Raw genomic sequence first — 23,640 nt, 5'->3', positions numbered from 1 at the left:
GGCATTTGGGGAGCAAAGTACACTGCCTGCAAAACCAAAGCCCAGACACACCCAAGAGGGTCTGTCTCTACCCTCAGCTCACCTTCAGCCTGGGTCACTTCCTATTTCTTTCCCATTCATGATAAGAACCGCATCTCACTAGTTGCATTTTAGTTTACAAAGTGCTTTTACTTGATTTCACGGGACCGTCATACCTCCTTGAGGGTGAGGATGTGACAGAGAGACTGGATGACATCTGGTGTGTCACCTAGCTCTCTGCACTTGGGCTGACTCGCTGGGCTTTCTGAGCCTCTGTTTCCCTTGCTGGTGAGTGGAGATTCTCGCAGGGCTGTGGCAGGGCCATCGTGAGACAGCATATTGGGAAATGCCTGCAGCCTTCCTGACTTGAGCTGCCATTGTTCCATTGTCACGGGCAGCTTGGGAAGGTAGCGTCTTCTGCTTGGTTCACTGCTGTGTCCAGCACCTAGAAGCCTCATGGAATAGAACTGGTGCATGTTACATTTTTACTGGCTGAATAAATATTCATGGATGTATTTGTGGGTTTCTCGGGCTCTGCCAGAGCCGTCGTGGCTGTAGAGTAGTTACAGGCGGGAGAGGCTCTTGCTCGGACTCTAAGGGGTCTGCCCCACATGGTGCTTCCCAGGCATCTCTGGCCATGGATGAAAGGCCTGTTCAGAGCCTCCTCCCTGGCTCCTGGCCGTGGCCCTGGCCCGTCCCTGAGCCACTCGGCAACTCTGGGTCAGGGAAGTTGCCTTCTCCAGCCACTGGGGGCTGCAGCCACCCTTGGCTTCCACATCCCACCTTAGGCTGCCAGGTGGGCCCACACTTGTATCATATCAAGAAGCAGCATCTCCCTTACTCACACACTCTCACACACACACTCACTCACACACACACACACTCTCTCTCACACACATACTCTCACACACACACTCACACACACTGACACACTCTCACACACACTTACACACACATTCCCACACACTGTCTCACACAGACAACACACACACTCACAGACACTCCCACAGACACTCCCACACTCACACACACACTCACACACACACACACACACACACACTCACACACACACTCCCCCACACACACACACACACACACACTCCCGAGTGTCTTGCCAGGGCTGGTCTAGAGACCAGAGCCTGGTTCCTGGGACCTGCCCAGTCTCCGGAAGGAACTTGACCATGACTGCAGGCATCACTCCTGCTCTTCTCACTCACTTATGAGTTCTCCAGAGCTCTGGGGGGAAACTCCCCTTGCCCTACCCCTCCCTCCAGCCCTTAGAAACTGAAGGCACAGGACGGACCGTAAGGACATCAGCACTGGAGGTGACAGTCCAGTTTGGGACAGAGTGATACCATTTCTTTTTCATTTTCTTCAACCTTGAGCAGCCCCCTTCCAGCACTTTGTATGTTGCTGGAATCCTGCTCGCTTCTAGATCTTATGAACTCATTTGCCTAACCCTAGCCGGAAGCCTGTTGGTGGTTCCAAGGCAGATGAGGCACTGGGAGTTGTGCTTTCACCACGTTGCTGATGAGCCTTGATTTGCCCACAGTTGTGCTTCCTCGGCCCCACCCAGGAGCTCAGTGGGCCCAGGGGGCCTGCCCCTGCTGGGGAACTGACAGGGGCTGGTCGGAGGGCCTGCCCCTCAGCTGCCCAATCAGAGGCCCAAGGGGCAAAGCCAACAAAGGACCCCGGGGCAGAGTCTGTGGGGCGGGGGTCAGTCTGATGCATTATGTAACAGAAAATAGGCTGTGACAGAGAACAATAAACACTGGGCCTGGGAGAGAGACTGTTTTTGGCAACTGCCTGGTTGGTGGAGAGATGCTTCTTCTCCCACTTTCTTCCTCCCACTGACATAGCCACATGGGACAAAATGCCCACTTAGGGAAGCCCCTGCAGATATATTTGCCTCACAAGTTCCCTCCACCCTCACCAACTCTCACTGCAAGAGCTAGCCTTGCTTCTGCCTTCAGCTGGGCTAACCCTAAGTCCATCTGCACCCCACAACGATTGTAAGGCATGTGGAGGCTATACCACCCCTTCTCCATAGCCCTCTATGGCTCCACATTGCCCCAGGGTAAACACTGACCACTGAGACTGGGAATGCAATGCCTTCCTCAACTCCTCAACTCCCAACTCTCTCCCTTCACCTTAGGCTCTGCTTCTTGGGACAAAGTGGGCATCACCCTCTACTTTCTTGCCACCAGGCATCCTACTGCTGTTGTCTGAAATGCCTACCCCCTAGTTCTTCCTCATCTATACATCTTCATTATTATAATTTTTCAAATTCTAACTGAAAACTCACCATGGCCCTTAACCCCCTTTGTATACAGGATGAGTTCTTTCTCCAGAGCACAGTCCTTGCACCTTCATTTTGTAGCTGGCTTTTGCAGGTTTGTCTTCCTGTACTATTATGAACTGCTTGGGCAAAAGAACTGTAACCACTTCATTGTTTTGTGCCCATCCCTGCCATGGAAGAGTTCAGATCAAGAGGGTGAGGCAGACATTTAAAGAGATGCATGCGGCCGGGTGAGGTGGCTCAAGCCCAAATCCCAGCATTTTGGGAGCCCAAGGCGGGCGGATCATTTGCAGTCAGAAGTTTGAGAACAGCCTAGCCAACATGGCGAAGCCCCATCTTTACGAAAAATACAAAAATTTGCTGGGCATGGTGGCATGTACCAATAGTCCCAGCTACTTGGGAGGCTGAGGCAGGAGAATCACTTGAACCCGGTAGGTGGAGATTGCAGTGAGCCAAGACTGCACCACTGCACTCCAGCCTGGGCAACGGAGTGAGACTCTGTCTCAAAAGTAATAATAATAATAATAATAATAATAATAATAAACAGATGCATGTAGCAAAGCTTTAAAGGTGCCACAGCAGAAATACCCATGGTGCATTTGTTTTTGTTTAATTTTGTTTTGAGACGGGGTCTCTCCCTGTTGTCCAGGTTGGAGTACAGTGGTGCAATCATGGCTAAGTGCAGCTTTGAATTCCTGGGCTCAAGTGATCCTCGTACCTCACCCTCCTGAGTGGCTGGGACTACAGGCACGTGCCACCACCCCCAGCTAATTTTTTACTTATCTGTAGAGACTGGGTCTCACCATGTTGCCCAGGTTGGTCTTGAGCTCCTGGCCTCAAGCGATCCTCCCATCTCAGCTTCCCAGGCTGCTGGGACTATAGGTGTGGGCCATCATGCCCCGTCCCCATAGTGCATTTGTTTAAAACTCTAGGCCATGGGATCCATGTGGACCAAAGAGCTAAGAGGAGAAATGGCTGGCATAGACAAGGAACCACAGCAGTTAGTTGAGTACTGCTGGAATGCTCTTGCGGGAGAAGACAAGCCTTGTGTGCCATGCTCTCATTAGGTCATTGTCCCGTAAGTGAAGAAACCCTTGAAAGACTTCTTCATTATAAACCATAATTAATAAACTATCTCAGTAAGTATCACAACCCCTCACTTATCAGAGTTTAGATGTCTACTAATCTAAGATATCCAAAATAATACCAAATCCAGGTCAGGCACGGTGGCTCATGCCTAAAATAATACCAAATCCAGGTCGGGCACAGTGGCTCATGCCTATAATCCCAGCACTTTGGGAGGCCAAGGCAGGCGGATCACTTGAGGACAGGAGATCGAGACCAGCCTGGCTGACATGGCAAAACCCTGTCTCTACTGAAAATACAAAAATTACCTGGGCGTGGTGGTGCACACCTGTAATTCCAGGTACGCAGGAGGCTGAGGCAGGAGAATCGCTTTAGCCTGGGAGGTGGAGGTTGCAGTGAGCTGAGATCACGCCACTGCACTCCAGCCTGGGCAAAGGAGTGAGACTCTGTCTCAAAAATAAATAAATAAATAAATAAATAAATAAATAAATAAATAAATAAATACCAAATCCAAAGAATATGAGCAGCTAAGGAGGAAGAAAAACCTGAAGAACTCAGGACATACTCTAATTAGTCACTTTGCTGACCAGAGGACAGGGGTCACCCACAGAGGGCATGAAGCCCTAGGCTCTGGAGAAACCTAGCAGGCAGGAGAAGGGGCAGGAGAGAGATGGAGGGCGGCATCAGGGAGGAAGAGTTGGATGAGATGTATCAATAACTCCAAACAGAAGGAAAGTAAATTGACAGATTAATGACAGACAGGTATACTTTTATACGTTGCTTCATTCTAAAAGACACTTGTGGTGATGAGAAAAATAAAAAATTAGCAAATAATAATAAGAGTCCATAATGAAATTGAGGCATCAACAGCATGACACAAAGTAGGTACACAAATACAATTGCTTAGAAATAGAGAGGAAATAGACATATCACAGTTAAGGCATGTTTTCTCCACCTGCTAAGTACACAAATTTAGAAAAGAGCAATTTACAAGGGAGAATCCACAGACACACAGCAAGCTCTGTGTGTTTCAAGTCACCTCCCAAACCTCTGATCAGACCAGTCCTTGGAAATGCCTTTTTCCACTAACCCAATGACCCCCATGGTTTGGCAGCCACTGACTGACTCCCCATTTCACCTGTATCTAGGCTCGCTGCCTGTATGAAAATGCTACATCTGTCAATCCCGTCTGTTTCTTCACCCTTACGCCAAAGTGCCTAAAATAGTGCCAGACAAATAGTGGGTAGAAAAAACATGCCAGTGATAAAACAAAATTTGGTATTGCATATAATGGAGTATGATCCCACCTTTAAAAGGAGCAAAATTCTGACACATATTACAACATGGATGAACCTTAAAGACATTATGCTAAGTAAAATAAGCCAGAGACAAAAAGACAAATATTGAAGAATTCCACTTACAGGAAGTACTTAGTCAGACTTGTAGAGACAGAAAGCAGAGTGGGGCTTCCAGGGGCTGGGTAGGGAATGAGGAGTTACTATTTCACGCGTACAGAGTTTTGACTGGGGATAATGAAAGATTCTGCAAATGGATGGTGGTGATGGTTGCAGAACAATGTGAATGTACTTCATGCCACTGAATTGAACACTTAAAAATGGTTAAGATGGTGAGTTTTATTTGTGTATATTTTACCATACATGCAGAAAAGTACTGGTAGACATACAGGTTTCAGTTACGTGGATCAAGCAAACAAACAGCTTTCTTCTACCACTCTGTCCTCCCCAACAAAATATACAACAAACCTGGCTGGAGAGACGACCAAAGGGGACTGGGCTATCCTTTTCCCTGTATTGCCTACTCAGGTCAGAAAATTAAATAATTGGCCAATAGGATTGGGCAACATTATAGGCCAATGTGAGCACCATGGCCCCACCAGCTATTCAGCGGGAGAGGGCAGGGGCTCAGGAAGCCACAGGAATTAGGCGTATGATGAAATGTCTTTATCTGCAATGTCAACACACAAAAAGGGAATGTTGAAATGGATGCTCCCCTCTGAAGCTGCATGGATTTTATGTTCAAAGACTCAAGAGGAAACGGACAGGGATGAAATGTTTGCACTTGTTTCGTCTGGAGAAAAGCTCCAAGCCACCACCCTCTGCAGTCACACAGTCACACTATGGGCAGGCTCCTCACCTTTTTGAGTTCGTGTCATGTTTTAGTTACTAGAATATCTGGCTGTGTGTTTGGAGGGATTAAACTGTGCACATAGAATGCAATTCCCCTACTCTCCTATCACCCCTGGGTCCCTGCTTGAGTAGAACTGGAAGAGGACTGCACTGACCTCTTTCTCTTACATACCCATGAACCAAATATTCACACTATCTGGCAAATGTGTGGTGTTTCTCTGTCACTGCTTGTATTTTGCCATTCCTTTTTTTGTTTTAATTTTTTGCTAGTAGTAAGACATGTCCCCCTTTATTACGTCTGATGTAGGACCATTCACCTTGACAACTTGCCCTGTAGACAGCACCATAGTAGTGTATATCTTCAGTTAGAGTTCAGTGTCTTAGTCAGTTTGGGTGCTATAACAAAAATACCATAGACTTGGTGGTTTTTAACAATGAGCATTTATTTCTCACAGTTCTGGAGGCTGAGAAGTTCAAGATCTAGGCACTGGCAGGTTCAGTGTCTGTTGAGGGCTGTTGCTTGGTTCATGGATGGCCATCTTTTCTCTGTGTCCTCACATGATGGGAGGGACAAGAAAGCTCTCTGGGGCCTCTTTTATAAAGACACTAATCACATGCTGAGGACTCAGCCCTCATGCCCTAAGCCCCTCCCAATGGTCCACCTCCTGATATCATCACCTTGGAGGTGAGATTTCAGCATATGGAACAGAACAGAGCCCTCAGAAATAATACCACACATCTACAACCATCTGATCTTTGACAAACCTGACAAAAACAAGCAATGGGGAAAGGATTCCCTATTTAATAAATGGTGCTGGGAAAACTGGCTAGCCATATGTAGAAAGCTGAAACTGGATCCCTTCCTTACACCATATGCAAAAATTAATTCAAGATGGATTAAAGACTTAAATGTTAGACCTAAAACCATAAAAACCCTAGAAGAAAATCTAGGCAATATCATTCAGGACATAGGCATGGGCAAGGACTTCATGTCTAAAACACCAAAAGCAATGGCAACAAAAGCCAAAATTGACAAATGGGATCTATTTAAACTAAAGAGCTTCTGCACAGCAAAAGAAACTACCATCAGAGTGAACAGGCAACCTACAGAATGTGAGAAAATTTTTGCAATCTACTCATTGACAAATGGCCAATATCCAGAATCTACAAAGAACTCAAACAAATTGACAAGAAAAAACCAAACAATCCCATCAAAAAGTGGACGAAGGATATGAAGAGACACTTCTCAAAAGAAGACATGTATGCAGCTAACAGACACATGAAAAAATGCTCATCATCAGTGGCCATCACAGACATGCAACTCAAAACCACAATGAGATACCATCTCACACCAGTTAGAATGGTGATCATTAAAAAGTCAGGAAACAACAGGTGCTGGAGAGGATGTGGAGAAATAGGAACACTTTTACACTGTTGGTGGGACTGTAAACTAGTTCAACCATTGTGGAAGACAGTGTGGCGATTCCTCAGGGATCTAGAACTAGAAATACCATTTGACCCAGCCATCCCATTACTGGGTATATACCCAAAGGATTATAAATCATGCTGCTATAAAGACACATGCACACGTAAGTTTATTGCAGCGCTATTCACAATAGCAAAGACTTGGAACCAAGCCAAATGTCCAACAATGATAGACTGGATTAAGAAAATGTGGCACATATACACCATGGAATACTATGCAGCCATAAAAAACGATGAGTTCATGTCCTTTGTAGGGACATGGATGAAGCTGGAAATCATCATTCTCAGCAAACTATCACAAGAACAAAAAACCAGATACCTCATGTTCTCACTCAGAGGTGAGAATTGAACAATGAGAACACTTGGACACAGGAAGGGGAACATCACACACCGGGGCCTGTCGTGGGGTGGGGGGAGGGGGGAGGGATAGCATTAGGAGATATACCTAATGTTAAATGACGAGTTAATGGGTGCAGCACACCAACATGGCACATGTATACATATGTAACAAACCTGCATGTTGTGCACATGTAACCTAAAACTTAAAGTATAATAATAATAAAAAAAAAGAATTTTGGAAGGGGACACAAACATTTAGAGTATAGCACCCAGCAAAGATGGTTCACAGTACATGGGAGCTCTGGGACTCTGGGATTGAACATTTCAACTCCACAGACACAGAACTAGAAATTGGGTGCTTTCTAAGGGGTTGTATTTAACTCCTCTGATTCTGCAGCTTCTCTGTTGTGCTGTATTAAATTCAAGGCAAGAGAATTTTGTGCATCTCTTGTGCGACAAGAGCTACCTTGGTTGTTGTGGCTGGAATGTGGACCACTCCATATGTAAGCCAGTATGGATGGACCCCTGTCCAGTGGCCTGAGTACTAGTCCAGGCACCTCCACTGACCAGCTCTGGTCTCTCAGGCCACGTGCTTCCTTTATTCCAGCCCCTTGCTTCTCCTTCTGTAAAATGGAGGCAGAAATAACACTTTTTATTCAGTGCTAATTACATAGCAGATCGTTCATATGCATTATTCCGAATCCTCTCAACCAACACCCCTTCATGGTAGATTAATATCATCATTATAGATAAGAAACATGAAGTTCAGAGACTGGAGTGACTTCCAGAGCTGGGGTCTGAACCTGGTGTCAATCCATCTGGGCTATAGGCCACGTAGTGTGGCTTTCTCCCCCATGGATTTATTTGTGAGTATCCTATGAAATGGGATAGGAACTAAGTGACAGGTAAATTGTGAGGTGCTGGCAAGTTTCTATTTTAAATTTTATTGGAAAAAAATCAAAAGATTAATCATTGATGACTAAGTGATTTTTTAAAAAAAAAATCTGGCATTTTTTAATAGTTCTGTTGCATTATCATGCACCTTCCATACGTTCACGTATTTAGAATGTACGGTTCACTGGTTTTTAGTCTATTCAGAGTTGTCCATTCATTACCACAATCCATTTTAGAACATTTTCATCTCTCCTTAGCAGTCACTACCTGGCTCCCCCAGCCTAAGCAACCCCCGACCTACTTTCTGTCTTCTTGGTTTCGCCTGTTCTGGATATTTCGTGTAAATAAGATCATACACTACGTGGTCTTTCGTGACTGGCTTCTTTCACTTAGCATGATGTTTTCAAGGTCCATCCACGCTGCGGCATGCGTTAGCACTTATTGCTGAAAAATATTCCATTGTATGGATATGACATATTTGCTGTATCCATTCATCTATTGATGGATATTTGGGTTGTTTCTACTTTTTTGTTGTTATAAGTTATGCATAATTTGTGTTTACTGAGGTATAATTTCTAGACTATAAAATGTACAGAATTTCAGTGTGGAGTTTTCGTAGTTTGAAAAATGTCTCCCTGCATAACCACCACCCCCATGAAGATGAAGAACATTTCCACCACCTTAGAAAGTTCCCGCAAGCCCCTTCCAGCCACCCCCACCTCACCCAGGGGCAACCTCTGCTCTGATCGCCATTCCCCATGGGTAGGCTGTAGCTGTTCTCAAACTTCACATAACTAGAATTATACGGTGAATGCTTGCTTTTGTATCTAGCTTCTTTAACTCAGAGTAACATCTATGAGGTGCATCTAGGATGGGGTGTGTATCAGTCATTTGCTCACAACCCGGTTTTAAAGAATAAGCAGCATTTTAACAGGTGAGGCCAAGAGAGAAAGGGCTTTTTGGGAGGAAGGCAGAGGCTCGCAGTGAGCCAAGTGATTCCCAGGGTGCATCCCAGAAAGGCAGACTGACTGTGAGGGTCAGCAGAGCAGGAGGAATGTGTGGCAGAGAGAGCTGGAGGGCCCTCCACGGAGCCATCTCATCCTGGACCTCATTTGATCCTCACCGCAGGCCCTGAGATCGGCAGAGCAGGGCCATTTCCCTTCTTACTCTTGAGGACACAAAGACTGGCAAGGACTCCCCCCGACCCACCATGCAAACCCCGAGACTCCCAGCCCTGCCCTCTTTGCAGGCCTCTCCAGCACCCAGGTTCTCACACAGCCACCTCAGTTTCCCCTCTGGACTAGCCAACGCTTTCACCTTTCTAGGCCCTTACCCCAGGCGATAGGCAAAAGCAAACTGGAGAGTGCCCCCCTGCCCCAGCCCCTAAGGCTTTGTTTCGAGAAGGGCCATCTCAGTGGAAGCTCTCCCCTCCCTGCTGCCTTGCCCGCTCCTCCAGGGGCGTTTCTCTGTGCCTAGTCTGACTCATTTCCCTCCTCACAGTTGGGCAGTGTGCCCACCAGCCACTGGCTCGGTGGGCTCTGGAGGGATGTTGGAACCTGCATATGATTTATGTAATTACTGTTTGCCTCCGGACGCAGGGAGGATGCAGTCAAGATGTTGGAGGGAGGCACCCCATGGCTCATCCAGCCCCACCTCTGCTCTCAAAGTGGGACCTGAGACCCAGAGTGGGGACTGACGTCTTCCAGGTCCTACAGATCTAAGGTGGCCCCTGAGTTTTACGCAACTCGGGTAAAAAGGCCCAGGAGCTGCAAGACCCCACGACTCTCCTTCCCAACGACTGGGAACACAGCTGGAGTCCACCGGGCCTGTCAGTCATGGCTCTGTGGGATGAGGCGTGATCCACAGTTAGGAGATCCGGCTCCCAGCCCCTATTGCCCAGGGCAAGGGCCCAGAAAGGTGAAAGGGTTGGCTAGTCCTGAGGGGAAACTGAGGTGGCTGCGTGAGGACCCGGGGAGGGGTGCTGGAGAGCCTGCTCCCGAGACTGGGAGTCTCGGGGTTTGTGCGGGGGATTGGGGGAGTCCTTGCCCATCACTGTGCCCTGCTGGGTGACTCTGGGCAAAGTCACATGCTGTCCTAGACTTCAATCCTCCCGCGGCCCTGGCTGGCCCACTAGGCTGCTGTGAGGCAGGAAGGGACTAATGCACAGGGTGCTCTTTGGAAAACTGGAAGGTCCCCCTAATCAGACTTGAAGGATGGCCTCACACCCACACCTTTAGCTCAGAGATCCTCTCTCCGTGCGAGGCAGAGAAGGGAAGGAGGAAGGGGCCGGCCTTTATGGAGTAGCTACCTTGGGCCCATGGCATGGGGGTACCGGAAGGTAGTCCCCTCACTCTGCCTGCCCTTCACCTCCTCTCCCTGAGGAAGGCATGGGGCATGTCCTGGGCATTATCAGCTCCACTTTCCGAGGCTCAGAGAGGTCCCTCATTTCAACAGCAGCCCCCGTCCCCACCCTGGGTCTCCTCAGCACCCTGTCAGCTCCATGTATCCCAGACCTGGGCCCAGGGGAGCTTTCCTCAGCAGTGGAGCTAGGCCCTCTGAACACTGGAACGGGACGAAGTCCTGACTGTCTGGAGAGTGAAGCTTGTCCCTCAGTGGGAAGGTGCGCTTCCTCCCAGGTACTGCCTGCAACTCAGGGTCTTGCACCCCTCATGGGCCCTGTGCAATGTCAGGCAGCAGCTTGGAGACCACCCCAGCCCAGCAGGAAGCGCCCACCTGTCTCTGGGCCAGGGAACAAGGAGAGGGAAGCCAGGGCCCGTGTGTGGGCTTTGGGCCTTCAGAGCCAGGTGCCGGCCAGAGCTGATGGCCTCACTATTTCGGGGGCCTTCAGGCTGCTGCTGCCCCAGATGAAACACCAGTCTGCACATCATCTTCCCAGGAAGGCAGGGCCTTCTCATGACTTTGAGATGGGGGACACAGAATTGGAAGCACCCAGCGAAGATCAGAACGGCCCTCTCACCACGCCCTTCCACCTGTCGCCTTCCGGAGGTGGCTGTGCCCTCAGTGCCTTCCCTCACGCTGACCCAGGGTGACTGGTCCAAGAAGCCTGAGTCTGGCTGGGGGAGAAGCACACAGCTGGAAAATAAGCACACGTGGCCACATCCCCTCGCCTCACCCAGTCCACACCACACTAAGACCTGCGTGGTCTGGGAGAAGCCCTGTACGGGGTGCTCAGTTCCCTGAGATAAAAATGCCAAGACTCTGCCTTCAGGGACCTCGTCCAGTAAGGAAAGACCAGAAAACACAGTCACCACACCCCAGAGAAGCTCCTAACAGGGAGGAGGGAGCTGGCCATGGAGCGCTGAGGACAGGCACCTAAGCCTGCCCTGGCTTGGGTACCAAGATGCGAAGGCTTCAGCTGGCTGGGTAGCAGGACTGCTGGGGTCCAGAGGTGGGAGGGGCCTTAAGGAAGGCCTCCCAGGTAGGGGCTGGGCCCTGAGGCTGGGCAGGATTGGTCCCCAGGAGGAAGCTCCTCATAGCTCCCTGGGAGCACCTTGCTCAACTATTCCTAGAAACAACAGCACTTCCCACGCACTGGGCCCTGATTTCCCTCCATTACCTCTGAAAGAGAAATGGAAGGGGCGGCAGCAGGGGTGTTTGGGAGGACTCCAGGAGGACGTCACTAGGCATATTTGCAAAGCAAAGATTTTGCTGCTTAAGGGAGTAGCCCTGGGCCCTGTGTATCCAGGCGCCATGGAGGCCACACACCCAAGAAAGGACAGGAGGGCTTTGGGTACGTGATCAGACCTGGGCCCGCTTGGGAATCCTCCCATCTGACTCCTCATTTAGCATCCGGATTTCAAAGCCAGAGGAGAGTTGTGCTGGAGGTGGACAGAAGGCTGGGCCTGCCTCCTATGGGGACAGCCTGGCTGCAGGGGGAGCCTGGGCCACCTCGCCTCGGTGCTCCAGCGTGGCAGCTGTCCGTAAGTGAGGCTGGAGCCTCCAGCAAGGGTGGAGTGGGGGCTGGCAGAGCACTGGGCTGGGGTGGGGAGACGGAGGCCCATCCTGCCATCTCTGCCCCAGTGCGACGCCCCGGCCCAGCACATGGGCCTCATGTGCCACCTGTCACTGTTGTGATCTTATCATCATCTCCCTTCTGCTTCCTCCACCATTTCCACTCCCTAGCCTTCAGTCTTCCCGTCTCTAAAATAGGTTTGGATTCCAAGATCTCTCAAGACTTTCCAGCTCTGAAAAAGCTGTTTCCATAACTTTGGTTCTATTATTTTTTACTTCTGAAGTACAAAATTATGATGACTTCATAGCCCCTGGAGTCTGGACCCCAGCTCCAACACTTACTTCCTGTCAAGCTTTAGACTTGCTAGTTAAGCCTCTGAACCTCAGTCTCCCTGTCTGTGAGATGGGGTCATCACAGGACCCTCCCGGCAGGATTTTGTGAAGATTAGATGAGACTGAGCTCTTAAAGGGCTCAGCAATAGGAGGTCGATGATGAGAGTTCCCTGTCCTTTTTTTTTTTTCTTGACCCTGTCATTTTTCCTCAGAAGGGCAAGCTCTGTTCTGGGGCAGAACTGGGGAGCGTTTGAAAGTAATTCCTCTTCTGCTTGTCCTCCAAGAGTTTGCAAAACTGAAGAGATGAGGCCAGCCCAGAGGCCTGGAGGGCAGGCAGTGTGGTGGTGAGGGTTTAGACTGGTGGGAAGAAACTAGAATGAAATGAAGGTGTGCGGAGTGCCATAGTCAGGATTCCAGACCCTGGACAGGTACTTTTCCGGCTCCTGACAGCAGCCTGCTGAAGAAGGCATTTCTGTCCCTTATTACAGATGCAGAGAGTGGGCGGCAAAGCGGTCAGCCGAACGTTTCTTGCTGCCTGGGGCCTTTCGAATGCCAAGGAGCAAACTGCGGGGGGAGACTGTTTCCGGACAATAGCCTATTAACACTCATTACCCATAAACCGGGTAGGTTTCAAGTAGCCAGATAATTGAGGCCATTGGGTGGAAGGGGGCTGGAATTACCTGATTAATTGCCTCACTTCTGGGCCTCGCTTGTTTAGACACAGCCTAAGAGAGGCTGTTGGTGCTTTGAAGTCTTGCTACACTTTCTCCGTCTCTCTTGTTCCAGTCTAAGTTTCTAACCCTGCTTCCTGCTTTGCACACCTCATCAGTCAACACAGAACAGCCATAAACTTTTATTTTTAATCCTCATTTTAAAAAGCAATACATTTGGTCTTTTCTCTGCTTTTATCTAAGTCCAAAAACCATAGACTCATTCATTTATTCATTCACTCGAAAAAAACAGATCTGGGCCTCCTACCTGCCAAGTTCTATTCCAGGCTCCAGGGGAGATAGCCGAAGAAGAAACAAAAGTAAAAACAAAAACAAAACCAGAAATGGGATGGGGCCACACAGCTCAGACCCTGGTTCCATCACTGTGAGAGTGTGGGCGAGTGTTTGAGCCCCCCAGCAAGCCTCAGTTTCTGTAAAGTGAGGTTGGCGACAGTGCCTACCTTTTGGGGTTATTTGGAGGCTTCGAGGTGACATTATCTCAAATGAAAACAAACCAAATTCCCTGCTGATGTGGAGATTACATTCTAGAGGAGAGAGACAGTCAAACAAACAACTACAAATGCAACCTACCAGATGCCCATAAGAGCTTTGGAGAAAAAGGAAGGCGAATAAGAGGCGCGCTGCTTCGCATACGGTATCAGCAAGGTCTGAGCAGAGACGAGGAAGTGGCTGTGTGGATGCTGGAGGAAGGGCCTTTCCTTCTCAGACAAACACAGGTTTGCCCAGGACTATCCCGATGTCAACCCTAGAAATCCCACATCTTGGACATGCCTCAGTCCTGGGGGTGCTACTGTTCCTTGGTCACCCTAGGAAGAGCAAGCACAGCACCCTGAGTGGGACGTGGGTGTGGCTTTCAAGGAGCAGCAGGGAGCGGGGTGTGGAAGGAGCAGAACATGCAAGGTTGAGTGGGGGTCCGAGGGTCAGGCCTGGGCAGGGTGGCGTGGGCCATGTGGGCTTGTCCACACTTAGACTTTACCTTTCAATGAATCCCTGGATCCAACCCTGAAATATACCCATGTTAGGGGAAGGAGGGTGGGTTTTCTTTTCTTTCTTTCTTTTTTTTTTTTTTTTGAGATGGAGTTTCACTCTTGTTGCCCAGGCTGGAATGCAATGGCGTGATCTCAGCTCACTGCAATCTCCGCCTCCCGGGTTCAAGTGATTATCCTGCCTCAGCCTCCTGCATAGCTGGGATTACAGGCGCCCGCCACCATGCCCGGCTAATTTTTTAAAATATTTTTTGCAGAGATGGGGTTTCACCATGTTGGCCAGGATGATTTCTAACTCCTGATCTCAAGTGATCCTCAAGTGATCCGCCTGCCTCAGCCTCGCAAAGGGCTAGGATTACAGGTGTTAGCCACTGCGCCCGGCCAGAGGGTGTGTTTGCAATGAGACGAGGGTAGGGAGAAATATTTTTTAGTGAACACCTGGTGCATATGCCTGGTGTCTTAGATAGTGTGTCCTTTAATCCTCCCTTTAATTCCAAAGGGCAGGTACTGTCACCATCGCTGGCTTACAAAAAGGAAACTGAGCCTTGACTGGTGCAATCACTTGCACACTCCCCCTGCGATGGAGCCAGGGTGGGAACCCGGCCCTATGAGGACACTGGGCCACTCCACATGCACTGTCACTCTCACCACATGCCAGAGAACGGGCAGGACAGGGGCAACTCCCATTTACACTTGGGGAAACTGAGACTCGGGGCGCTGTGAGCCTGCGACCATACAGCAGTGGTTTGTTCAGGATCCAGCCTGGTGAGGCCCCGTCCTGGCTTGCTCTGCACCACCATGAGGTAGAATAACTAGAAATGCCCACCGAGAGAAGAGACTTCCACTCCCCAAATCCCAGATGGGCAGCCTTCTCTCAGGGGCCAGGTTCCAGGAAGAGACCTCGAGGTCCCCAAATGCCTCCCCTCCTCTGCAGTTGAGGAAGAATTCACCAGGACCTTGCAGGACAGGACCCACTGTCCTGCCCCGGCCTGGCACAGTCCTCTTCCCAAGGTTGCCCATCTCCACCTCCATCCAGGTGGGCAGCCACTCAGCGGCATCAGGAGAAACCACGAAGGTAACCTGGACAGCGTTCCCCTCACCCTCCACCTCCACCCACACCGCAGCGGCTTCTTTCCCAAGGGGGGAGAGAATTATTTGTTTTTCCTGTTGCTCTGATTTATGGGCCACTTTGTTCTTTATCTATTTGCACAAACTTGGTAAAGTGACCTGCTCCTTCCCAGAGGTCAGAGATTCTGTCAACACCTCAGGGTCACAGGTCAGCCGACCTGCCCAGGGCGGAAGGGGTTACAGGAGGTCACCTGGAAACAGACCAGCAGATACCAGTTTTGCTGGGGCTAAGCATCTCTTTGTGGGGACTCATGGCTCAGACCCAGAGTGGGAGAAATGATCACACACATGTGCCGGGTTCTGAGCAGGTCCTTCCCCACATCCAACAGTAGGCCTGCAAGGGAGGTGTTAGAGCCTCCGTTTTGCAGAGGTGGAGACTGAGGTTTGGAGGGATGGGGTGACGAAGCCAGTACGGCACAGGCAGAAGAGACAAAGCGGGGCTCACCCCAGGTCCTGCTGTCTGTCTTTCCCAAGGTATGCACACCAGGAGCGCTCCACTACCAGGGCTGATGGAGGGGACGCTTCTTCTGGCTGGGTCAGAGAGGCCAACCTAGCTCACTAGCTCCCTTTCATCCTCACCTCTGTTGAGGGGGGACCACAGGCCTCTCCTCCTCCCACTGCTCTCTGTGGACCACAGGGCTGCTCTGTTACTGGGTCTCTGGGCTGTGTCAAGTCAAAGGGGGACAAAAGCGAGCCACTGCACAGGGAGCTTCCCATCATGCATTTGCAGGCAGGTTGGACCCCTGCCCAGCCCGTGGCACCCAGCCCCAGGGCTGCTCTGCAGAGCTGGCCGAGGTCGTGAGGCAGTGTGAGAGGCCCCATCTGGAGCCCCGCAAATGGTCGGAGCCCCCTTGGCCATGGAACCTTAGAAAGCCTCATGTGCAGAGCTTTGGTCTCTTCTGGCAGTAGGATGGCACCCACTTCCCAGGGATGGGGAGAGGGTCCAGGGGAGCCATGCACGGGAGTGCCCTGTGAACTGTAAGGAATTTCAGTCCCTTCATTCACAGAGGCATATCACACGGGCCCAGAGGAAGAAAGGGGCCTCAGACACTGGTGCAAAGTGGTATGAAACCACATTGCCTGAGATGTAGCCCAGGAGACAGCCTGGGAACCCACAGCACCGGTCCCTCCCTCTCTAACCAGCGAGGGAAGGTTTAGAAGCCCTGTATATTGCTTTTGGGAAAACGCTTACTTCAGTGAGGCTACTTCTGGAGATGCTAAGTGAAGATCTGAGGCGACTATTCGGATAATGAATGTCAGAAGCACTCTCACAGGTTGTTCTTCTCCACTATTGGCATATTTCAGGTGTAAAGTGGTGGGTTTTCACCTAAATGACTTGGTTAATTGTCTTGCAGGTGTAGACACATTCTCAGAGGGAGGAGATTGCCAAAACTGTGTGCCCAGACCCCAGCCCCAGGCACCTTGGCACAGAGAGGTCTTTGTGAGGGAACCGTCTAGTAGAAATAACAGTTATTATTATTTGAGAACATGAAATGTTGGAAAATTGGCATGGGCACAAGTGCAGAAAATGTGTCCCCTCCCCGGAACTGCCTGTAAGGGCAGAGAGTGCTAATGAGCTCCCTAGTCATTATTTCAAAACGGACTGAGTAGGAAATGTGGCCCCTGGAAACACTGCCAGGAGTTTTGGAATGAATGCATTTAAAGAAGGTTTAAACATCAGAGATGGAGATGCTCTTAAAAATCATCTAAGCAAACACTCTCATTTTATAGACGGGAGTGCCAAGGCCAGAGAAGGGCAGCTACTTGCCCAGGCTCATGTCACGGGTCAGAAGCAGATGGGCTATAGGCCAGGCAGGCCGCCATTCCAAGTCTTACTTTCCTCCTCCTGGCCCAGGGGAATGAGAGCCTGCCACCCTGTCCTCCTCTCTGCCCTCCCAGGGACTCTGCCCAGCAAGTCTCCACTGACGACAGCCCCCAGCAGGGGAGAAGTGGGTTCTGATCCTGTCCGATTAGTCCACAATTAGGGCTTCCATCCCCACATTTCTTACCAGGCATTTAATCTTCACAGAGGGTTACACAATCCTCTCGATATGGGAAACTGAGGCCCAGAAAGCTGGGCGGCTTCAACAAAGCCACCCAGCTAGGAATTGAAACCCAAGTCTGATCAGTTTGAAATGACATGAAATGATGGCAATGACGATTCCATGCCTCTCTTTTTATCTCTGGCCTCCACTGTGTGTTTGAAAGCTGGAGTGGCTGCAGAGAGATTAAGAAGTGACTCAGGGCAGGGGATGGGACTCAATGAAGTGTCCCTAGCTCTGTCAGCCACCATGTGACCTTGGGGAAGTCCCTTCCCATCTCCAACTCTTCCTTTCTCCACCTTTACAGTGATGACATTGGACCAGATACTTAAGGGCCCTCAGAACACGAAACATAATGCCTCTGATTCCATCCACCCAGCCGCTCCTTGCCAAAGGTACACACTCCTTCCTAGGACGCTGGGGCAGTTTATGTTGATCCATTCCACTATTCACTCATTCCACATATACTTATTGAGGATCGATGATGTACCATGCACTGCGGCACTTTCACGTCTGCAAGCTCTGTTATTTCTCACAATATTATTACCCCAGTTGAGGGGAGAGAAAATTGAGGCTTAGATTTGTTAAGTGACTTGCCTGAGGCTACATATCTGTGCTCCAGTAGATCTGGGACTGTGCCTGTGTCTGGTGACTCCAGGTTCAATGCGCTTCCCCTAAGACCAGAACGCTTCTCCAGGCTCACGGCCCAAAGTATCACGGGAGTTTCTTTATGGTTCAGGCAGGTGAGCAGACAAGGCAAGCTGCAGGAGGCTCACCAGGACATGGGTCAGCCACCCTTTGACCAGGACGCTTTCTTCCCAGCGCTCGGAACCCTCCCACTGTATTTGGACAACCTTGGTAAACCGACCACCACCCAGGCTACCAATGAGGCCAGCCTGTGGCCCCGCCCCTATGCTTTCGGGCAGAGGCTTTGTGGTTTGAACCAAGAGTCAGCAGAGGCCCCGAAATGCCGAAGATGCTGCCGGCCATGGCCTCTGAGAGCTGCACTCCAAACTCTCCACAGAGACCAACGACGCACAAGCCACGATCAGCTGGCCTCCCTGCTGAAAGAATGGGCATTCTTGAATTCTGCCACCAGCCCACTGCCCTCCCACACATCCCCTCCTGGGAGAAGCACAGACAAGAGGGGATTCAGTGCAGGCACAGTCATCGCACAGAACGTTCACCAGCCCTTCCCCTGGGATGCAGTGCTCATTCCTGCCCCCTCCTCCCCAGCCCAGATCGAGTGTCAAACAGGCAGAGCTGGTTCTGAGAAAAGCCTATTTCCCTCAGTGCCCTGGTCTCCATGCAGCAGAGAAAGATTTGAGTTAGAATCCAGATTCCCCTGGGTGCAAGACCAGTTTGCACTCATGACCTCCATGACCATGGGCAAGGCACTTCCATTCGCTGGACCTCTGTTTCTTCGTCTGTAACACAAGCCTGATAAGTCCTGTCCAGGCCCCCCGATGGGGTGTTTGAGGATCAAATGAGGGAAAGCCGGGTTTGGAACCTACATGCTGGCCTCTGAAATTAGCCCTTACTCCATGATGGAAAGGCCATCCCCTTCTTCCTTGGGACCCCAATAGTCAAGCCTCACACAAAGCGTGTACCCAGTAACGATGTTGAGTGGGTATTTGTCATTCTCATTGATAAGAAAAGAAACCTGAACTTCTTCTCTGTGTATGGGATATTGGCCACCCTTGAGTCTTGGTGGGAGGCAGTGTCTGCCTGTCTCCTACAATACAAGCTGAAAATGACCAGTCATGATATTGCCACCTGCCTCCAGACAGAGCAGGAGCTCGTATCCTGGGCTCTACCCGTCAGCTTCAACTGCCTAAATTTGATCCAGGGCTGGTGATCTGGAGCGGGAGGACATTCTCTCATGCTAGGCAGGGGGTGAGGAGAAGCAGTAGCTTCAGCAGTTTGAGCTCCTGGGCCAGGAGTGGCCACTTAACAGGTGACAATGGCCAAGTCCAGAGTCCAGTATCCAAGGCTGGGCACACCAGTGGAGCCAGTAAAAGCATCTAGTGTTCAATGGCAGAGGCATTCATATTCTCCCTGTCCAGTCTTGCCATTTGATATTTGTCCCAGGCCTAGTTCTTAGCCCTCCTGGACTCCTTGAGCTACCCTTTTAATTCACCTCCTGTATTAGTCTGCTCTCACACTGCTAATAAAGACATACTTGAGAATGGGTAATTTATAAAGGAAAGAGGTTTAATTGACTGACAATTCAGCATGGTTGGGGAAGCCTCAGGAAAGTTACAATCATGGAGTAAGGCAAAGGAGGTGCAAAGGCATGTCTTACATGGTGGCAGGCAAGAAAGCGTGTGCAGGGAAACTGCCCTTTATAAAACCATCAGATCTCATGAGACTTATTTACTATCATGAAAATGAGACGGGGGAAGATACCTGCCCCCATGATTCAATTACCTCCCACCAGGTCCCTCACACAACACATGGGGATTATGGGAACTATGATTCAAGATGAGATTTGATGGGGACACAGCCAAACCATATCACCCCTTTCTATTCATATTGGCAGCATTGCTTTAGTTGCTAGGAGTCAAAAACTCTGATTGCTAAAGATGCCAACGGACTGGCCATTTCCCAAGTTGTCTAAGGGCTTGAGTTCTGCTCTTCACCTTGTTTCTATCTCTGTGACCTTGGGCTGATCTTTAACTCATTAAGTTTCTGTTTTCTGTAAAATGCAAATGGTTGTAACTACATATTATATTACTTGAAAGAGTAGGTGAGATAATGCATCAGCTCAGTGACAACTTCTGGCACTGAGGATGTCACAGGAACGTGAAAAAGAATTCTTTTTTCCTCCTCTCTCTGCTTCCTTGGACAAATTCAGAAAGAAACAGCACAAGACAATCCATTTTGAGGATTTAAAGTGTGGACCGTGGCTGTGCCGGTTGCAGAGTCCTATACCAACACCCTGCCTCTTACCTTTGCTCAAGCAGTTCCTCCTGCTTGGACCACCCCCACCCACCGCCCACTCCACTTCATCACCCAAACCAGTCCACTCAGCACACCTTCCAACCTCATCTCCTGCTTCTCGCCTCCTCTCTAGCCCAACCTCTGCTCAGCAGACCATGCATCCTCTTTCCCCAAAACCTTCACTCACAGCAGTCCGTCCACCTGCCATGCCCTCTTTATTTACCAAGACCCCACCAAACTTTGCCCCTCCCCAAATCTTCCTTCCTCCTGCAGTGAAGGCTTTTTCTTCTCAATTCTCCCAGAATAGCCCAGCAAGAAGAAGGAGGGGATACTCCTGGGGTTCAGGGGCTCCCTCCCATTTATCTCCAAATCTCCAAGCTCTGACTGAGCTGAAACGGTGTGCCCTGTGCGTTTGGAACAGTGCTTCTCAGTGCATTCTGTAAGTTAGGATAAGCAGGAACCATAATCTCCGTTTGAAAGATGATAAAATTCAGAATGGGGAGAGACCGGCCCAAAGCCAGCATTTGTTCCCAGGTCTGACCCCAGCATCAAGCTCTTTCCGGCATACCTGACTGGCCCTGCTCTTGTAAGCTCTACCCATGCGGGCCAGGGGATTTCAGGGGGAGTGCGTTGGGGAATTGTTTTTCTTATATTCCAGAGATTACAACCATGTTACTTACTTAGAAAAGTGCACATTTTCTCCACTCCATACAAATTTCTGTTTAAAAAAGAAAGAAAGGCGTTTTCCTGGGGAGGAAACAATTGCTGCCTATAGATAATTAGGGCTCTATTTTGGTGCCAAAGCAGTGAACAGACTGAGGAAGCTGACAAAGGCAAGTCCATAAACAAGGAAGAGATTGGTCTAACTTTCTCTTGAATCACAAACAATTTGCATTTTTATTTCTTCCTTTCCAGAAATGAACTCTACCAGCCTAGACTGAACTAACATCAGGCCTCGAAAAAGGCCAAGTCACGGGGCATAAAAGGGTCCTTGGATACTGTCCAGGCTAAGCCCTTATTGTAAAGGAAAGGAAACCGAGGGCCCCACGGGCAAGGGCTTGTCTGAGGCTGCCCAGCAAGGCAGGGGTGGATCTAATGTTAGAACCTTGTGTCCAGGGTTTCAAAGCTGTAAGAACCCCCTGCATCGCCAGCCCACCACCAGATCATGGTTCTCCACTTGTGCCTGCCCTGAAAACTGCCCATGGCCCTGGGTGAGGCAGCATTTGGGCAGGGAACATCCATGTGAGGTGTCGGGGTCTGAGCCTGAAGCTTCAGGGGGTTGCAGGGTCTGGTTTGCATTTGAAAAGCACTCTTCTTGCTTGGTGGCCTAACTCGTGTATTTGACACCTGGAATTTATTATTTTTTAACACCCCCTCCTCTGCACAACAAAATTATTTTCAGCATAAGCAATGTTTTCTTTTTTTTTTTAATTTTTAAAAAATTTTGCGGGTACATAGTAGGTGTATATATTTATAGGTTACATAAGATATGTCGATACCTGCATGCAATAGATGACAATCACATCAAGGTAAATAGGGTATCCAAGCAATGTTTTCTTAATCAGTACTTTAGTCTTAAGGTAGGCAATTAACAATAAAAAAATGGGCCAGCACAGTGGCCCACGCCTGCAATCCCAGCACTTTGGGAGGCCAAGGTGGATCGCTCAGTCTCCTTGAGCTCAGGAGTTTGAGACCAGCCTGGGCAACATGGCAAAACCCCATCTTTACAAAAAAGTCTAGCTGGGCATGGTGGCATGCACCTGTACTCCCAGCTACTCTAGAGACTAGGGCCTGGGAGGCAGAGGTTGTAGTGAGCCGAGATTGCACCACTGCATTCCAGCCTGGGCAACAGAGTGAGACCCTGTCTCAAAAAATAAAAAAAAAATTGCAGTTACCATACAAAAACAGTATACCTCTCAGCTCACACAGTTTCACTGTTTTAAATTTTAAACACAAATGAAAACTCTGTTCACATGAGGGGTAGAATGAAGAACCCAAATTATGTTTCTTTGTGTTTACAATCCGTGTGCTGTTGTTTATTTTAAATGCAGTGTTTAAATTCAGTAGTATGTAGTTCCACAGGGTTGGAGACATGATCTGCACCAAGCAAGCTCAAAAGACTTTGAATCATCCTAAACTTATTTTCAAAAGCAGCACAGTCAGTTTAGCCCACATGTGTTGAGGGGCCAATTATACATGAGAAGTCTCCAAATTAACTTCTGCAAGGAATACAGTGTTTACTAAAAGATAATTAATTTAAAAGTTATTTATATATATATACACACACAGATATTTATATCTCAACAAAAAGAAGTGTTCCCTGTTGTTTGTATTTTATTTATTATTTATTTATTTATTTATTTATTTTACCATGAATGGTACTTCATGTAAAGTGTTAGGACAAAATAAGCACTCAAAAAAGATTGAGCTATCGTGTTATTAAAAGTCATACCGAGAATCAATAGACATTCTTGCTGAATTTCTGCAGAAGGAGCAGAATGTTGCTACTGATAATAGCTAAAATGTATTGGGCACTTATCTCCTGCCAGCCAGAGAGTCTCTCACTTAATTCTTAAAATAACTGCCGCACAGATGAGGACGCTGCACACAGGGAGACTGAGTCATCTGTGTGAGGCGATGCCATGGGCTGGTGCGGCCCCACCGTGCCTGTGCTGTGCTGGGCACCTGACCTCCATGGCCACACTTGACCTTGGTCACCACTTGGCCACACTGAGCTCCCATCTGGTTGTCAGATGGGGACTGTCAAGATCTGGGGTGTTGAGAAATGGACCCAAATCCCACAGCCAGCAAGAGCAGAGCTGGGGGCTCATCCCACACGGGGTGGTGATGAAGTCTTTGAAGGTTAAATGAGTGGAGGCCTTGAGACCCTGCTATCCAACCCTGTGTCCTCATCAGCTCAGGTTGCCACTACAACATACCGCAGACTGGGTGGCTTAAGGAGCAGAAATTAATTTTTGCCAGTCTGGAGGCTGGAAGTGCAAGGTCAAGGTGTCAGTGGGGGCGATTTCTCCTGAAGCCTCTCTCCTGTGCTTATGGGTGGCCACCTTCCCGCTGTGTCCTCACATGCTCTTTCCTCTCTGCGTTCTCATCCCTGCTGTCTCTGGTGTCCACATTTCCTTTTCTTATAAGAATACCAGTCCGATTGCCTTAGGGCCACCCTAATAACCTTATTTTCACTTAATCACCTCCTTAAATGCTCTATCTCCAAATATAGTC

At 49.3% G+C, this 23,640-nt stretch overlaps 4 annotated features.

Annotated features, from left to right (window-relative positions):
• Positions 139–1,086: an enhancer, noted in NCBI's record as "H3K4me1 hESC enhancer chr2:15921105-15922052 (GRCh37/hg19 assembly coordinates)". NCBI's record gives its function as "activates a minimal SCP1, AML or CMV promoter by ChIP-STARR-seq in naive H9 embryonic stem cells {active_cell/tissue: H9 hESC(naive)}" and the evidence as "EXISTENCE:reporter gene assay evidence [ECO:0000049][PMID:30033119]".
• Positions 11,803–12,701: an enhancer, noted in NCBI's record as "H3K4me1 hESC enhancer chr2:15909490-15910388 (GRCh37/hg19 assembly coordinates)". NCBI's record gives its function as "activates a minimal SCP1, AML or CMV promoter by ChIP-STARR-seq in naive H9 embryonic stem cells {active_cell/tissue: H9 hESC(naive)}" and the evidence as "EXISTENCE:reporter gene assay evidence [ECO:0000049][PMID:30033119]".
• Positions 21,056–21,556: an enhancer, noted in NCBI's record as "H3K27ac hESC enhancer chr2:15900635-15901135 (GRCh37/hg19 assembly coordinates)". NCBI's record gives its function as "activates a minimal SCP1, AML or CMV promoter by ChIP-STARR-seq in primed H9 embryonic stem cells {active_cell/tissue: H9 hESC(primed)}" and the evidence as "EXISTENCE:reporter gene assay evidence [ECO:0000049][PMID:30033119]".
• Positions 21,557–22,057: an enhancer, noted in NCBI's record as "H3K27ac hESC enhancer chr2:15900134-15900634 (GRCh37/hg19 assembly coordinates)". NCBI's record gives its function as "activates a minimal SCP1, AML or CMV promoter by ChIP-STARR-seq in primed H9 embryonic stem cells {active_cell/tissue: H9 hESC(primed)}" and the evidence as "EXISTENCE:reporter gene assay evidence [ECO:0000049][PMID:30033119]".

The sequence above is a fragment of the Homo sapiens genome, chromosome 2 (genome assembly GCF_000001405.40).
Source record: "Homo sapiens chromosome 2, GRCh38.p14 Primary Assembly".
Classification (NCBI taxonomy): Eukaryota; Metazoa; Chordata; class Mammalia; order Primates; family Hominidae; genus Homo; species Homo sapiens.
Note: the sequence above shows the minus strand (reverse complement) of the source record. Positions and strands in the feature narration are given on the sequence as shown.